The sequence below is a fragment of the Homo sapiens genome, chromosome 13, assembly GCF_000001405.40.
Source record: "Homo sapiens chromosome 13, GRCh38.p14 Primary Assembly".
Taxonomy (NCBI): Eukaryota; Metazoa; Chordata; class Mammalia; order Primates; family Hominidae; genus Homo; species Homo sapiens.
Window position 1 is genome coordinate 98,402,339 of NC_000013.11, and position 18,599 is coordinate 98,420,937.

Sequence of the window (18,599 nt, forward strand, 5' to 3'; positions counted from 1 at the left end):
ATTGACTCCACTTTTGAGTGAGATGTGGAGGCGGTAGTGGTGTGGGGGTTGTGAGGGAGTGAGTCTGCTTTATTATGAATCAGGATTGATAGCTGGCCTTAAAGTGGGAAATGATAGAAGGGTCACTTAGGAGCCTGCAGTGGCATGGTGACCAGTCTGTTATTACTCATAGATGACCTTTTCTGGCTCTTGAAACCAAGCTAACGACTCCTTTTTCTTCTGGGCCTCAAAGTTTCTTTGTAGGAAGTAAAGCATTTGTCACTTTCCCTGCAGTGATTTATTGAAAGACTGAAGATAGGTCTTCCTTAGTTAAGGACGCACACTGGCTGCTCGCTCCAGAAGCACCAAGAATGGCTGATGGATAAATCCCTTACCCATACTCCTGTTTCTGCCTCCTAAGGTTGCTGTGAAAACCTAACTAACCAAACCTCACCAGCTTGGCCTATATTATTAATCAAATTCCCTTCTGTTCTCTCTGTGTGTATATTTAATACTGTAGATAATATGTTTTATTTAAAATTTCTAATACACCAAATTAATTTGAAATAGAAAAGGCTGGGGACTTCATTCTCATTTTTGTCATTTGTTTAATCAGTTTGGGAAAACATTTTCCGTTGTTCCATTGTATGCAGTGTCTTGTCAGCATGTACCTATCTAGGAGAAAACGCTTTGTTTTCAGCGTTCTGTCTTTACCCTCAAAGCATGGTGTAGCTTCTGTTCTTACACTGTTGGAGCACTGTCTGATGTCTTTTTTTTTTTTTTTAACACTGCTGAATACCAATTTGTACTTGGAATACCTCTTTCCTCTAGAATACAGTGATCCTATTCCCCAAAGTGCAAGCTTTCATGTGGAAGCATCCTAAGTGATCGTCCTGGGTGATGCCATATTTCACTAAAGTGGGAAAAGAAGAGGTGAACTTTGCTCTTCCAACAAGGCTTGCACTTTATACTTTGGGCAGTGCATGGGAGAAGGGGGGCCCTTAGAGGTGAGCAGGATCACTGTAGCTAGAGGAGAGGTCTCACTGAAACAGAACGCATCTGTGACTGTAGCTTGCATGGAGAGCCTAGACAGCCAACCATGGATTTGCCTTTATGTTTTGAATGGAAACATCTATTTCAATTGGGATAGAAACCTTTACCTATGTCATATCTGTAAGAGAATTTAGCTTATAGATATGTAGATACGTGTGTGTGTTGCTGGGTGGGGAAGTGGGTGGGAATGTAGAAAAGGCCTCACCTGACTTGGTCCCAGTTGGCTTCTGATGGCCAAGGAGCTGTTTTTCATTTTGGTGGGCACCCAACATGTAGGTTCTCACAGATGCTGTCTGGTTTCTTCTTCTCTCCATGGCGGAACAATGAAGTACGTCAATAAAGCATGGACTCATACCACTGGGAAGAATGCTGGCTTCTCCAGTAACAATGAGCTTGGTGGTTCTTTGAGCATGGAAGGCCAAGCTCATGTCACAGTGTATGCACGGTATTAATATATCTCTTGTTGATCTAAACTGAAGGGGCTTTTACTTGTCCTAACAGGTATCATGCTGTAAAAACTGTCCATTGTAACTGTTCTTTCCCACTGATGGCTGAAGCTTTGTCCTGAGTACAAGATGGTATTTTTCATTGGTACGAAGCACCATGTTCCCAACCCAAACACTGCCTCCACCACCACCACCACCACCATCACCACCACCACTGCTACTACCAACATCACCACCACCATCACCACCACCGTGTTCAAACAAAGCAGCATTCTCCTGTGTCTTTTCCTCATAAGTAAGAACAAGGTAGCACATTCATTTTTCCATTAGTGCATTTCAATTCTTTTCCTGCAAGTTGCATTGCTATTGCTTTTCTGAATTGCTTGATGATGAACTGTGAAGCTGATGCTTAGCTGCTTGTGAAACTTTTCTTAAAGGAACTGGGTCTAAGAAGCACACATACATTACCCTCAACAACCTCAGGTATCAAGAAGAGGACCACACTGCTAACATGGGTAATCCTATAACCTGGCTTTTCTTGTGGAACTTTGTAATTTCTATAAAATACCGCCAGCTTTGCGTATTCCACTGAGCCCCAACTTAGATATCAGACGCTAGTGAGTCCTGCCTATTCAGGAAGCTACGTATTATTCAGCATAATACTGCCCTTTTTTTTGATAACTGGCTTTCAAATGGGATAATCTCAAGAGAGGTTTCATTGTATCCTCTTAGAGCGTATGGATTTAAATAGAGCCTTTCAAAAAAATAGATGAAAACCTACATCTCTAATATATTTCCTACTTGGGCCTTTTGAGCATATTCTGGGCACATAGAGAGAAAATCTCCTATGTTTTAGAACAGAATAAAAGAAGACAAATTATGGTAGATAAGTGGCACCCAGAAGATTGCAAAATAAATAATTTTATGTGGGGGAATATTGAAGAAAAAGCATAGAAACTTTTTTATAATTGCACTTTAAAATTTTGGAAAAGAAAAATTGAGAATGCAATCAGTAGTCTCATTTTTGTCAGTATTCTGTCAGATATTAGCTATTCAATAAGCATATCTTGGATTACTATTTTTTTAGTTGTCAGTTTTTCTAGTTTCCCCCTTTATAGGAAAAAATAATACCTATGTGGTTAAAAACTGAGACCCATTTAAAAAACAGGACAGGTACAGTTAAGTACTAGAAATGCCGTTTTTATCACTTGAAAAATAGATTAGAAATGTTTTTCTTTTCCCAGAATTGTGTGAGTTTGTTTTGAAGCCTTGAATACCGGTACATGGTTAACAGGCAGCTTGTGCCCAATCCCAAAGCGGGAAGAAAGGCCTGGCTTTGGCTCACTGATGATAAAGTCTCCTCCCACTGCCTTTCAGCAGCTCTGCCGAAGAGCTGATCAAGATGCTGCAAACCCAGCTTCCCCAGACCGGCCAAGAGGGAAGAATGATGAGCGTGTTTTAAATTACAAAGAGAGAGCAGCGCAGGCAGTTTCTGGTCTGGGTGATAAATTGAAATCCATAAATATAGCAGTGCTAATTTGAAGTTCCGTAATTGTTTGTGCCATGAGAATGTGTACATTTGAAAGGATTTTATAAAGCAATTACTAGAAATGCCTCCCTTGAGAGCTGTATGACTGGAGGTGTTTTCAGTCTGAGGGGGGCAGCATAAACCCAAACCTCTTCTAGATGAATGGCAGGGTGGCGGGAGGGGTCATGAAATCATGGGGAAGAGGTGAAGGATTTGAGAGCTACTAACCTGACATCTAACTGAATGCCTAAGAAATTGCAGGGCAATTTCAGGAAATAGGAAAAATAATTTTGAAAACATTCAAAGCCTCCAGACTTTCGGTGTGTGACTGATCTTTTTTCTAATCTCTTTAAACTTCTTTCCACCTATTGCCTTAATAGCAGGTGCTTCCTCTTAGGGTCCCCCCAAATTATTTACCTCGAGTTCCCTAATGAAATTACTTTGCATTAATTTGTCATAAAGGGAGAAGTGCTAGAAATACCGAGGCATTGATAATTTCATGGAGTAGCAATGAATGTCAGTCACAGTTTCCTCTCCCCGTTGCCCGGGGCTGTGCCTTCAAAGCAGGTGACAGACTGCAAGGTGTAAACAAGCTTTATAATGCCATATAAATCAAACCGGGCTCATTTTACCTAACAACAGAACCATGTTTGTTTGCTTTTTTGTAAAATGGACTACTTCAGTGAAAAATTGATTCCACGTAGTTCTAATAACTCTGTGACCTTGGACATTGGCTTTTTATAGACACAGCTCTTCCCACCTGCTGGTATGGACACCAGTTTGTACAGACTGTTGTCACACACCCTGGCTCAAAGTCAAAAGAGAATTTTAATTACTCATCAAGCTGCCAAATTCTACTAATTGCCCCCTTGTCAGCATATTTCATTAATTGCTGAAAGGTAAATGAGTTACATATTTTGTTTGGACCACGTCACCTGTACATTTTCAAAGCCTCGGATTGTTTATCTTGCAAAGAGAGAAGGGGCCTCTTCTCCACAGATGCAGCTCAAATTAGCAAAACTGAACTGTAGAGTTTCAGGCCTTTCCCTTCCTTAAAATGCTGATAGATTTCTAGACCAGACTTTGATATTTATTGGCTTCTTGGTCTTGCTGTTTAAACACACCCATTGCCCTTTCTTTCTTAGGCCCTATAAGCAAAGCTGGAGTAGCGTCTTGGGAAAAGGCCAACTGACCACCCTAATTTTGTCGTTCCAAGTCTGCAGAGCGCACATATTAAGTAGTTGTTACTGACATCTTTAGGCTCCGTGAGTGAAATGCAGCAAGCCTGCCCCCAGCAGCCTGTGGGCTAATCCTGAGCTGTTCCTTCGTTTAGGTACACAGGTGACCCTGAAGTTCCCACTCGGCCCTCTGTTTTCTGAGTCCTGTCTCCTCTGTAGCACAGTGGGGATTGTTCTGAACCGTGGCACGCCTTCTTGGCGAGGCAGGCTCTCTTATGGAACCATAGTCTGTTACCTCATTTCTTCCAACTGCTCTGTCCCCTAAATGTGTGTTCCCAGGTGCAGTGCAGCAAGGGTGCTCGCTGTTGGCCTTTGAGAGTGGAGGTGGCTGTATCGGAGTGTGCTCCCCCTACTTTTTCCCTTGCCCCGAGTGGCAGTTCTTTTCCTCTCTGTTGCCGGATGCTGTCTAGGGCCTGTTAGTTGCTATTTCCTTGCCTCCGCTCCCCTTCCCACTAGCCTTCTAACTACCTTTTATTCTCGGCTCCAACTCTTTCAATGATGAGGTGAATGCTTTTTCTGTTCCACGTCACTGCAAAGTCAAGGTGTCCAGCATGCTCTCACTTATAACTGCCTCACCCGATCTCACGCACAGTGCGAGAGCTGAAGGTAAGCCCCGGATGTTGCCAGATTACGGTGGACAAATAAAAAACAACTCTCCAACAGCAACTCACAAATGCATGAAATGTTTTAACCTCTAGACAGACTGCCAGAATTTCTCTCTTCTAATTCCTACTTGTAGTGATAACATTTTTCTTTTTGTGATTTTTTTTTTTTTAAATAATAGTGTAGTACCTTGAAACAACTGCAGTTCTAACTCATTGTCACCATTTCTGTTTGACACGTTCCACTTCCTTTGCAATTATTGTATTTAGTTGTGCACTAGTGTCAATAAAATTGACATTTGTGAAGCAATTTCTGGCCTTTTTCTCCGGGGTTTTCTGGGTCTGGTGGTGTTTCGGGTGATGGGGTCTTTGTCTAACACAAGGCTTCATGTTAGTGAGGTATATTAAAAAACATGAGGATTTAAAAGCAGAGGGATTTTAAAAATGCAAGCTTACTGAATCTGCCTTTTCCTCACATTTTCTAATCTTGCTATCCAAGGATCATTGCACTAACCAGTAGTCCGTGGGCAGGACGTCTGCCTTTTGTCATTCTCCAGGTACAGTGGATCTTCCTCCACTGTGTTGGCGGTGCTGCTGACTGCTCAACCTGGCACCAAGGGTGGGGGCTGGTGGTGGTTTCTCCAGGGTTCATTTATACTGGGACCAAATTCACCGCCCTTACTTCATCAGCTCCATTCTAGGTAGGCTGTTGTATCTTGTAATTCCAAAATGCACATGCATGACTCCAGAGGGTGAGAACAGATGACAGGAAAATGGGGGTGCTCCTAGAAAACCGCCCTCCACCTTTTCCCTTAGAGATCTTCAGCGTACCAAGTAGCAGCGAGCCTGAAACTGTAGACTGGGAAATTGAGAAAGCGCTGACTTTGTCTTTCCTTATCATGGTAGTAGACAGGACTGCAGGTTATTTTAACTTTGCTTACCTCATATTAGCTCTAGCAAATCTGCTTTATTAGTATAAATATAAGTGTTAGACAAAAACACTTAGGTTAGAAGTATATTCTGAAACATCCCATGTAGCTTCATTGGGTTGAGATACAGATATTTGCAAAAGTGTATTGGCAAAGAGTGTCCTATACATATCATCTCCCTTGGCTGACTCATAGCGGGTAATATATACTTTTTTTTTTTTTTTTTTTTTTTGAGACAGAGTCTCACTTTGTCGCCCAGGCTGGAGTGCAGTGGGGCGATCTCAGTTCACCGCAACCTTACCTACCTGGTTCAAGCAATTCCCCTGCCTCAGCCTCCCAAGTAGCTGGGATTGCAGGCACCCGCCACCATGCCCAGCTAATGTTTTTGTATTTTTGGTAGAGACGGGGTTTCATCATGTTGGCTAGACTGGTCTCAAACTCCTGACCTCAGGCAATCCGCCTGCCTCGGCCTCCCAAAGTGCTGGGATTACAGGCGCGAGCCACTGCGCCTGGCCACATTTTCATATTACTATGGTATCCTTTCTCAAGGACTCATGGTACCCTGTCACTTTTATCTTATAAAGGGAAATTGTGATAATATAATGACGTCTGCTTTTGCATGTTGAAGTGATCACATATGCCTGTAATGTGATGCTAGTGTTTCTGTCCCAAACAGTGAGAGACATGGAATGACATCACCAGGTATAACAAGCTTGCTTCTGTTCTTTGTAGAATGGGGAGTTAGTTGCTTGACCTTTCTGTTAGCTGTGACCCATTGTTACGGGACGTAGTGTGTCCTAAGTACAGCAGTTGCTTAGATGCCTGTTAGTATAGTTGTATTTTCTAATCATTTCCCCATGTCTCATTGTGACATAGACACTGTGTCTTTCTTGAGTAATTCTTAGAAGTAAGCAGTAGTTGGGAGATGAAATTCCTATTTCGGGATACACTATGCTTTTAAGCTATTTTAATTGCTATCTAAGCAGAGTTCTCTATCTTATCATTAATTACGTAATGAGGCTCCATTGAATCCTTCATACTTTGGTATCTTTATTAAGGCAGCTTTGACTTAGGAAAAAAACTAGAAAATAAAGAATCGCTTTAGGTTTGCCATGGCGGGGTAGTCAAATCTTACGATTTGAAAAAGGTGAAAGTAGTGAATAGAAATCAGGTCCCAGAAAAAAATTACTTTTTTTTTCTTTAAAACTTCTCATCCCCAAACAGGCTCCCTGACTGGCAGTCCTCACCTTTCCGAGCTGTCTGTGAACTCGCAGGGGGGAGTGGCCCCTGCCAACGTGACCTTGTCTCCCAACCTGAGCCCCGACACCAAGCAGGCCTCTCCCTTGATCAGCCCGCTGCTGAATGACCAGGCCTGCCCCCGGACGGACGATGAGGATGAGGGCCGGAGGAAGGTACAGGGCCGAGGGCTCAAGCGCGTGTGTGGCTGTGTGTGCACGTGTGTTTGTGTGAATTTTAAAAATTGTACTAAAATATACATAAGAGCAAAGGTACCATGTGAGCCATTTTCAAGTGTACAGCTTGCTGGCATTAAGTACATTCATGTTGTTGTGCCACTGTCCCGACCATCCATCTCCAGAACTTATCTTCCCAAACAGAAACTACATCCATTTGTCACTAACTCCTCCTTCCCCCTCCTGCCAGCCACTGGCACCTCATTCTACTTTCTGTCTCTATGAATTTGCCTACTCTAGGTACCTCATATAAGCAGAATCACCCAGTATTTGCCATTTTGTGACTGGCTTATTTCACTTAGCATTCTGTCTTCATGGATCATCCATATGTAGCATGGGTGAGAATTGCCTGCCATTTGAGGGCTGAGTGATGTCCCGCTGTGTGTATAAACCACACTTTGTTATCCATTCTTCTGTTAATGGACAGTCATGTGGTTCCCACCTTTTGGCTGCTGTGAACATGAGTGTCCAGGTATTTGTTTGAGTCTCTGCTTTGAAGTCTGTTGTGTGTACACCCAGCAGTGGAGTCAGGTGGACTCCTATGAGAAGTGGGCAAAATGGCGGACAACAGGCGACCTCCTTGCACTTATTGTTTAAAGAGAAAGCAAGGTTGAATGGCCGGCCTCCTCCACGGTGGGGCTGGCTGCCCACCTGACTGACAGCCGCCAAGGGAGTTCAGGCCGATGATGCCACCAGCTGATCTCACCCCTGTCCCTTTAGACCCAGCTACCATGTGTTCCCACAATGTAACTTCCATGTCATGAACACCAACTCCACCAACGGACATAGGACGAGACAGTTCCTTTTTTATGTATTTCCTTTGCCTAATTTGAGTCCTTTTGCTGACGGTAATTTTTACCTGGAAGGAAACCTTCCTAGACTATATTCTCATCATGGAAATCCATTATCTTAGCCTAGCTCCTCACATGAAACGGAGAGTAATTCATATTTATTCTCTTAACACAAAAAGGAGAATACATTCTTATTTATTCTCCTAACCCAAAAAGGAGAATAAGAATTTTATTTCTTGTTGATGCCAGCTAACAAAAGATCACAAGTTAGTAACATATCACTTTAATGAGGACATTCTCCGAGACGCATACTCAAAAATGATTATTGCGCTTTGTTTCTTTTGCTGGGTTTTGCAGAGATTCCCAACTGATAAAGCGTACTTCATAGCTAAGGAAGTGTCTACCACCGAGCGAACATATCTGAAGGATCTCGAAGTTATCACTTCGGTATGTGCAGTATTTCCCCAAAAGCATTCGATTACATGATTTATCTCAGCTAATACTCAGCTATACGGGGAGGCTGGAGCTAATTAAATGTTGGATTCGCTGACTTCAGTTGAAAGGATTGTGGTCCTAGGGTATAGAAATTAAATGCTAATAGTATATTTAATTGGGAATATATGCTATAACATTTTTGATAATGATGATTTTCAAGTGCAAAAGAAGGAAGTTCCTAAGGCAGAGAAAATTAAAATTAAACATTTTACCATCTGTGTGCACCAGTCCAGAACATGTCGTGTTTTGCCCATTGCCAAGTATAACTGCTGATTTTTGTTCACGGGAGACCTCGGAGGTGAACAGGAGATTCATTTTATCTTTGATAATAAATTGAGCCTTGTCCGCAAAATCTGCCAGAAGACCGCCTTTTATTATTTTAATCAGTCCTGCTCAGTCTTGAAAACAAATTCAGGGCATTGCAGATGTCTTCCTGACCCCTGGATTCTGGGAAAGCACAAGCCAATTGGGAGGGAAATTGGGATCACTGAGTTTCTGATCCTCTGGGCTGTGGATTGTGTTAGGCCCTTGACAGGTGCTCGCTAAGCGTTGTGAACCCAGCTCACCTCAGCGACAGGAGTGACTTTGTGTGAAGGCTGTGGCTTTATTCCCAGGTTTGGCCACCTTCATGCCCAGTGTTTTAACAAAGGAACAGAGATGGAAGTTCTTAAAGGAATGAAGCACAGAATATTCAGTGGTCATAAATTAGTGGTTATCCAGTGAATCGGCCAGAATGGAGGTTTTGATTCGAGTAGTTCCCCATTTAAGAGATTTCTCCTGGCTTTAACAGTCAATGGGTAGCAAACTGCAGAAAGCAGTAATATACAGATGGGTGCTTCTTACCCCGTCTAAGGAAAGAAAGGGGAAGCAGTAAGGCCCGGGCAGCCCCGTGTTCCTGAAATGCCAAGAACCTCGCAGGAAAGCCCTGGCTCCTCCCAGTGCATTTGGCTGCATGTGACTTCTGGAGAAAACTGCAGACACTCGTCATTGATCTTTCCACCCGTAAGTGCATCGTCTTCTTCTTTCCAGTGGTTTCAGAGCACAGTGAGCAAAGAGGACGCCATGCCGGAAGCACTGAAAAGTCTCATATTCCCGAATTTTGAACCTTTGCACAAATTTCATACTAATTTTCTCAAGGAAATTGAGCAACGACTTGCCCTGTGGTGAGTACATTTCTACTTCCCAGCTACGTTCCTCCCTCCGTCTTGCTTGTGTTATTTTTATGTCGTCCCTGGGTAGGCAGCAGGCAGGAACAAAGATGAAAGGCAGGAAACTGGCTTACAACAAGTCAGCCTTCAAATGATTTTCAGTTAAATCCTACATGCGTTCAGATCTCATTTGCAGTTTCTTTCCTCTGGTTTGCAGTTCTTCAAGATGGATTTTTTTCCCTCTCTTATGATGATTATATGATTATCACAAAATAAAGACAGTCGTTACTTCTGGAGGGGCAATAGGGATTATAAAGAGTAGGGGCTTAGGAAGGCTTTGAGGGGTGCTGGTAATATTTTACTGGTGCTTGCTTTAAGTCTTTTATGAAGTACATACATGCCTTGTGCAGTTTTCTGTATTCTATTCCAGTGTTTAAAACATGCTTTGAAAAAGAGATGTATGTGGCGTGTGCATGCGCACACACACACTTTTACCTTATCTTGAATTATCATAAGGATCTGTTTTAATACATGAAATGCCATTTAAACAAAGACATCCAATGAATAATTAAAATAATAGAAATGACCTAAGTGTCCATCAATAGCAGATTGGTTAAAAATTATCTTAAGCCTGTCCATTAAATACCAAATGAAACATTAATGTGAGAGAAGAGGGAGGTACAAAAAACCAGGAAAAGCTTTATGGACTGTCACATGCAGAATCCTCTACACCTTTACCTAAAATAGAAGGTTTTGTAGACAAATCCTATGGCAGTTTTTTAAAGACAATTATATGGAGAGAGACACATGGGGAGTTGATTGTCTACTAAACATGCATTTGAAAAATGCCAGGAGAAAATAGCAAAAAGTTTTTGGCAGAAATAGAACCCGTTATGGGCTGTATCCTCACTACCAGTGAGAATTTGGTTTGGAGTGGCCTCAGGGGCCCTCAGTGACTGTAGGGCCTGAAGGAGCCCTATGTGAGGTTGTCCTGCCTCTGGTGATCCCAGACTGTGGCATTCAAGCGTCGGTTTAACAGCTAAGCAGAGCTGCTTTCTGTGTTGTGAAGCCAATATGCTGGGGCAGCGGGAGTTCTCTGATCTCCCTAAGTGATGTCCGGCTTTGTACATTTTTTATACCTGGAGGATAATTCATGTGCAATTCTCCTTCCCTTGAGAGAGGGAGGTGACAGGCATTACTGAGAGGCCCCAGTGGGGAGAGCACAGCCAGAATTGGAGAAATAATAGGTACAAAGTCAGCCTCGCTGGAAATGGGAAAAATTGAAAATGCCACGTTAGCAAGAGTCTTGGTATTATGAATATAAGAGAAATGTCACTTTTCAAAATTAAAAATAAAAATGTGGGCACAGTGGCTCATGCCTGTAAATCCCAGCACTTTGGGAGGCTGAGGCAGGAGGATCACTTGAGGCCAGGAGTTCGAGAGCAGCCTGGGCAACATAGCAAGACCCCATCTCAACAAAAAAACATTTAATTAGCCAGGCATAGTGATGCAAACATGTGGTCCCAGCTACTGGAGAGGCTGAGGCAGGAGAATCACTTCAACCCAGAAGTTCAGGGCTGCAGTGAGCTATGACTGTGCCACTGCACTCCAGCCTGGGTGACAGAACAAGACCCTGTCTCCAAAATTAAAATTAAAATTCTACCAAATGTAACTTTACCTTCCCCAGGTTGACCTAGAACCTTTCACGTGTGTTCTGCCTGTGTCTCATCATTCATACAAAGTTGAATGATGCTCTCATAATGGGGTCAAAGACCTTACAACTCTGGAGAACCCATTTGGCAGTTTGTTCTCTGGCCAGCGAGACATGTGTTAGTACCGTCTTAGGCAAATCTTCCTGGAGGCTCAGGGCATCTTGAGCTGATGTCACTATAGCAGTCTCAGTGCATGTGGCAGTTGATTTAAATAAGGTTGGAGAGGCCACACACAGGAAATGTCATCAGTTTGCAGTACCCTGAAAGCCCTTCATGGTGGCTTTGGCTGGCTCCCCATTGGAGGGCGCCACCAGAGAGAAATGCAGAGAGCTGTCTAATACGACTCATTTTAGGAGTAAATGCCGTACGCGTGGATCTTCCATGGCCATAAATCTTTACCTTATCTGTGAAAGAGTAGTGAGTTGCTTAAAAAGCAGTTGATATAATTTGATTCCCAGAGGGTTTTCAGTAGAGTATCTTTCTAAGATCCATAATGTAACCCATGTTTTACAGAAAGACATCAGAAGCATGTAAAGTTCTCAAAGCTAGAGAGAAAGCAGATAGTCAACAAGCAGCTCCATCAGTGGGACCTGCAGTAGCCTTTCAACAATAGACCTAAACCAAATACACGACACTGGTCAGGGATCATTGGAAGGGGCTGCAGTGAAGTTAAGCTAATCAATTACTCAAGAACATGATGAGGAGGACCTGGTGTGGCAGGAATTCCAAGGGAAAAAGGCTGAGTGTGAATGAGTTTAGTATGAGCCATAGACCAACACAGAGAGAAACCAGTGTCTCTCTAGATCTGCACCTCTCAGCATCGGCTCCTCGTTGAAGTTACCTCAAGCAGCCTGATATAACCCAGCCCTGTTATATCAGAGTCTCTGAGGGGTAGAACCAATGCATTCGTAGGTTCTAAACTTCCCAGGTGATTCCAAAGTGTAGCCAAGGTCAAGAACATTTGCCCTAAAATGCCTCATTAAAAAGAGCCCAGAGCCTAGAAAAGGATGGCTCCTTCAAAATTCAAGGTTCGGCACTCCTGCAGAGCACTACACCACACTCGGCTTTCACGTGTCAAATGGGATGAGAATGCATTCCATTAAAACAAAATGACTGGATGAGAAGAGACTTTCCAAAGCATGATGGCTCCCATCAGGTACCTGCAGTCTGGTCCTGTGGGAAAGGGCATACGCATCTTCTTAGTGGAACCAGAGGACAAAATTGAAACAATGGAGTGAATTTCCAAAGAAGCACAATGTCTGAACACAGAAAAGGATTTCTGAAGCCTAAGTGCAGCGTGGCAGTGAGAGTCTGCCTTGTGAGGTCAGGAGCTCCTTCATCTCAGGGGTGCTCCAGCAGAAACTGACTGTTCATGTCCAGACAGGATTTGTCTGTGGAGCAAAACCCCAAACCTGGCGGTGCCTCAGGGTCACTGGGCTTGGGAACTGGAGGGGGCTTTGAAAAAGGCAGATTGCCAGGCCCTATCCAGTTCTCTTGAATCAGAGCTTTATTAAGAGTGAGACTCAGGAATCTGTGTGTTTTAAGTACTTCTTGGGGTGATCGTGATGAATACCTTTTCTGCAACAACCGACCCTGCAGTGCCTCTGACAGTGCTAACAGTCTATGATTCCTTGGTTTGCATGCCATAGACTGGTTATAACTCTTGTTTCTTTAGTCTACAAGCAATGCATGAAGGAATATATTAATGAATGAATGAGTGAATGAATGAATGAATGAGTAGGTGAGTGTGTGCGTGGCAGGCTTTGCCCATGGGGGACTTGCACTCTCAAAGGAGGAGGCAGGCACATAGGGCACAGAGAGCCGTGTCCTCTCACAGGTGTGGGTGTCACATCCAGGGTGGTCATGGAGCGTTGCTGCCAGTTCTGTCCCTGAGGACACACATGTACCATCATTGCCTATACAGAACAGGCAACCCTTGGGCTAAATCTGTTCAGTGAGAAGAATGGATCACAGGGAAGATTATTAAGAAAGGATTCACCCTGGCTACTGACTGACAGACTGCGCATGTGTGTGTTCAGTGCATGTATGTGTACCCATGCCTTTCCTCACGTTGCCGTGATACGGAAGCGCAGGTTGGCTCCTGTCGATTGGGATGGGTAAGATCCGAATTCGAGGTCACACCCCCGCCATGGGGCTGTCTTCAGCTGTAGGTGTGGGCCTCGTTGAACCGCATTTCCTCCTGGGTGAAATGTGGATGGCATCTCCCATGCAGGGTGTTACGCAAATGGCACAGTGTCTGGAAGGGGCTTAGTATACTGCGCTGCGCAGAGAAAGCGGGGAAGCTGATCATTTTTTAAAAATTAACTTTTTATTTGGAAATAATTCCAGAGAAAAGTTGCCAAGACAATAGTGTTTCTGTATGGTCTGCACCCATCCTCTTCCCGTTAACATCTTATGTCACCATAGGAGAGTCGGCAAAACTAAGAAAACAACGTTGGTATGTTACATTAACTAAAGTCCAGATTTTATTCCATGGTAATATTTTCAATGATTATCATTAATGGAAAGAGATCTAAAGTATAATATGCAGCAAAAGTTCCCCAGAATTTGGTATATAAGTGATCTAGTGAGTGTGACCTTCCCTTCGCAGTCCTGCATGAGACTGCAATATACTTCCATCAACAGTGGGGAAATTACAGGGCAGAGAAAGTCTCAGGAAGTTTTCCGGAATGATTAGGCTGAAGCTCAGTTCAGCAAACACACCTGCCCCTATCCAAATGTCACCTTCTCCTGAGTAAACACACCTGAGAAGGAGATGGACGCCCAAGGCCTGCTTCTTGCTGGCAAAGCCACATTACCTGCTTTCTTCAAAAACAAGGAAACTGGTTTGGTGAGTTCTAATAACTTCAGGAGTTCTTTTCCTTGTGAAAGCAAGAACAGTTTACTCAGCTGTTCAAATGAGTTCAGAGAAAGCCACTTAACAACCTTTGGCGTGCAGTCAGGACTCCCAAATGCCAGCCCTGAGGTGACTGGCAGAGGCTGAGTGCAAGGTGGCCAGCTGGGTTCCCCGAGACAGGTGGAAGGCCTGCTTTGCTACAGAGTGCCTTGGTAGATTCTGCAGGGTACAAAACTCCACTTACGAGCCAGCTGGGAGCTGGGAGACAGCAAGCAGTCAGTCGTACAAAGAGGCCCTCGGAATTGGCTATGGGGTGCACGCAGTTTTCATGGAGGATCAGCTGCATGTTTTAGGAGAAACTTTGGCCAGAGTCACGTGGAAAGCATGCGGGAGACTGGCTGGGAGGACCAGACTGACTGAATGTCGAGATATCACTGAGCAGCCAAGGCTCTGTGAGACAGTGAGGAAGGAGAGGGGAGGCCACCTAGAGTTTTGAACACAGTCAGCTCAGAGGATGGTCATGAAAATGGGAGGGAAGTCAAAGAAGCCAGGAAGAAAGAAGCATACAAGTACGATAAGGGAAGATGAGCTTGCTTTGGGAATGATAATTTTGAGGGCCCTGTGATAAAGTGCTCCAAACAGTTGGAAATGTGGGTCCCAGGCTTTGGAAAGAAATGAGGCAGAAAGGTGTAGGTTTGGAAGTTATCCACAAGAAGAATCAGATCTTCAAGGAAGAGAACATTAAGAGGAAAAGAGAGCTGAGGGCAGAATCTTCTCGACTATACCTTTATGGCAGCTTGCTTTCCATAAACGTAGATCATGGCAGCATAAAAACCAGCAAAGGAAACAGAGGCCACCAGAGGTTTGAAAAAAAAAAAAAAAAAAAAAAAAAAAAAGAACACATGGGGGTGGAGGGTCCAGAAGATAGCCGGTCTTGGAGAATGGCAGCCAGGAGGGCAAGGATGGTTTGAGGAAGGTAGTTCCTGGTGTACAGGAGCAGACTCCGGGCAGGAGGAAGTCCTGCAGGGGTAAGAGATGTGAGAAGGGTGTCCTGAGGGATTGGAGATCCCTCCAGGGCAGAGAGGGGGCTCTTTCAGGGATGGGACACTCTCACAGCTGCTGTCAGGAGTTTCACAGAGGGAGCAGCATTGTGTTGCCGTGATGCTAGGTGGCTGAAATGGAGATGACTAAGGTCAGAAAATTGTTTTGCTGCCCAGAAAAATGGAGCATCTTTATAGAAGCACCAGTGAGCCATCATAGAATAAAAATGAATTAAATACTTTTCTCATCATTCTACTAGCTCTCTGAAGCTTCAAGTGTTTGTGCTAGGTATCATTAAAAGAAAAATCAGTGTTCATAGCAGCTTTATCCACAGTAGCCAAAAGGAAGAGGTAACCCAAATGTCCATTGACATGAGTGGCTAAACAAAATGTGTGATCGAATATCCTTTTATTTATTTATGTTTTTATTAGTTTTTTAGAGACAAAGTCTCGCTCTGTTGCCCAGGCTGGAATGCAGTGGTATGATCATAGATAACTTCAGCCTTGAACTTCTGGCTTCAAGCAATCCTCCCACCTCAGCTTTTCAAGGTGCTAGGATTATGGGCATGAGCCATCACACTTGGCCTTGTTTCCTTTTTAAGCATGAGTAAAATTACATGTTTATTTGTTTGTTTTGTTTTGTTTTGTTTTTTGTTTTTTTTTTGAGATGGAGTTTCCCTCTGTCACCCAGGATAGAATGCAGCAGTGTGATCTTGGCTCACTGCAACCTCCGTCTCCCAGGTTCAAGCAATTCTCCTGCCTCAGCCTCCCCAGTAGCTGGGATTACAGGCGTGCATCACCACACCTGGCTAATTTTTGTATTTTTAGTAGAGAAGGGGTTTCGTCATGTTGGCCAGGCTGGTCTTGAACTCCTGACCTCAAGTGATCCACCCGCCTTGGCCTCCCAGTGTTGGGATTACAGGCGTTGAGCTTCCACGCCTGGCTAGATTCCATGTTCTTGAGCATAGCTTTGAGCTAGTTTTTCTTGGATTTTCTGCCTTAGTCGTGACTATATAGCTCACAGTGCTTTGAGAGCAAGCTGTTTCCCTGAGACGAGTGAAACCGTTTTGCCAATTGCCAGAATTGCAGGTGGGTTTCTACTAGAAGACACTTGAGAGAAAGCCCTCTCCGGGTCACTAGACGAGTCTGACACAGCTCTTCTCTTCTACTGTATTTTAATATGTGCCCTGTTGATAACAGGAATGATACCGGGGCTCACCTGGATGCTATCAAACCTGCCTGTGACCGGGTTGTCACTTTGGATCCTCTTATTCAATTCGACCTGGTGGTAAACCTCAGGAAGGCAAGAAAGAAGCTATAGCTTTGAGCAACCTAAGAGTGTAATTGACAGACTTGAGGGTGGCTGAGAATGGGAGGGCTTCTGTCTTCTGTGTTTCCCGCAGCTGCCAAAGGCGCGGCGTTCCCGGCCCATTGAAGATGCCTCTCGCACAAATGTCATCTTGACAAGTGGGCATGTGAATTAATGCTAAGACCAATGGGACTTTAATGAAAAATCCACATATATCACATGTGGCTGATACATATGTCATACACAATATGTTAGGTCAGGCACAGTGGCTCACGCCTATAATCCCAGCACTTTGGGAGGCCGAGGTGGGTGGATCACCTGAGGTCAGGAGTTCAAGACCAGCCTTGCCAACATGGTGAAACCCCATCTCTACTAAAAATAGAAAAATTAGTTGGGCATGGTGGCAGGCACCTATAATCCCAGCTACTCGGGAGGCAGAGGCAGGAGAATCACTTGAACCCAGGAGGCAGAGGTTGCAGTGAGCCAAGATTGCACCACTGCACTCCAGCCTGGGTGACAGACGAGACTCTGTCTCCAAAAAAAAATACACACACACACACACACACACACACACACACACTCTGTTACTCTGGCTAATTTGTTTGCTTTTGGAACCCAGCCACCCTCCCCACCCGATATATTAATGTAGGATCCGTCTGTTCCCACTTACTCATTTCACACTATGCTTTTCACTTACATAGACACACAAACATACATAATTTCATACTTTTTTCCATTTAGAATCATAGAGACTGCAGGGAATAGTGAGGACAATGATGTGGTATTGGTGTTGCAAGTGAAGACTAAGAGGCTTCAAAAAAAGATCTATTTTCGGGGTGGAGCAAGCATCTAGAGATAGAGCAGGGGGACAAAAATGAACCCTCAAGCTCCAAGCTGCACCGCTGGCATGTGTGCTCTGAGGAGATGGCTCTTCATGTTGTGGCAAGGAGAGAAGGGGAGAGCTGGGTGATGAGTAAACACACTTGGGTTTACATTGGGCCCATGGGGTATGCAGTGTGCCAGTCACTGCCCTCTTTCATGGTTAAGGAATCTCCCGGGGCACTTCACCACAGCCTGGCCAAATGTTACTGCCTTCCAGAAAACACGCCCTCTCAGAGGGAGCCCGCACCCTAGGGCTCGTGATGCTTTAGAGGACAGTTGGGAGATTTTATTGCCACCAAGGTCACCAGCACACTGTGAACTGTTTATCTGATGTTCTAAATGGGCTTTATGTTGACCCTGAGGTTGGGATGGTGAATAGGAGGGCAAAGTATTGATTTATCCTGGCTGGCTTTGCCCCTGCCTGCGACGACAGCCCACAAAAGTGTTTCCTGGCAGTTGGAGACAAAACTCGTCATACAGGCTGTCCTTCTGCCTCCTCTTAGGGGGGTGATGGGCAGAATACTCACAGTCCACCCTTGGAGGCAACCTTGCTGTTGGTCAGCCGCCCACCCACAGTTGGTCATTTTCATGTCCTTTACTTCTTCCCTGTCCTCAGTCTGCTGCTGAATGACTGACCAGCTCACGTTGTGGTGAACGAAGTTTTGATACGAGGTCAGGAAGACTTGAAAATTCATGACGTGTGTGGGTGTGTGTTGCGTCCTTTGCTGAGGTGATGTGTAGTTGCTCCTGGGAGTAAGTTAATCACATTGCACAGGTCAGAATTGAGCAACCAGGCAGCTTCTTAGCAGACTTTACATGGTTTTCCTAAGTGAAATTGTCAAAAGAATTTTCATCTTGGTTGCTGTGTGGTAATTACCCAGGCAATAAATATGTGGCCCTGCCTTGCAGACAAGGACCCCTTTCTTGTGAGGTTAACATCCAGAGGACGTGGTGGAAGAGTTATAATTACTTTTTCATGTTCTTGATAATACAGTGACCTTTTAGCCGTTCATAATAGAAGGAACACTTTGGCTTTATACATTTGGAGGCAGTGACATGTAGAGGAAATAAAACCATGAGGATGTTTCTAGATGGGCAGCAGGAATTTGGATTTTGTC

General features: G+C 44.2%; 1 protein-coding gene across 2 annotated transcripts in view; it reads left to right on the top strand.

The window, feature by feature from the left end:
• FARP1 (FERM, ARH/RhoGEF and pleckstrin domain protein 1) overlaps nucleotides 1-18,599 on the top strand; it is a 312,588-nt gene that overhangs the window by 259,750 nt on the left and 34,239 nt on the right. For both annotated transcript variants that reach the window (NM_001286839.2, NM_005766.4), the window contains exons 14-16: nucleotides 7,000-7,187; nucleotides 8,396-8,485; nucleotides 9,563-9,696. In NM_001286839.2, the coding sequence (NP_001273768.1) occupies nucleotides 7,000-7,187; nucleotides 8,396-8,485; nucleotides 9,563-9,696 (412 nt within the window). The remainder of the gene's footprint in view (nucleotides 1-6,999; nucleotides 7,188-8,395; nucleotides 8,486-9,562; nucleotides 9,697-18,599) is intronic.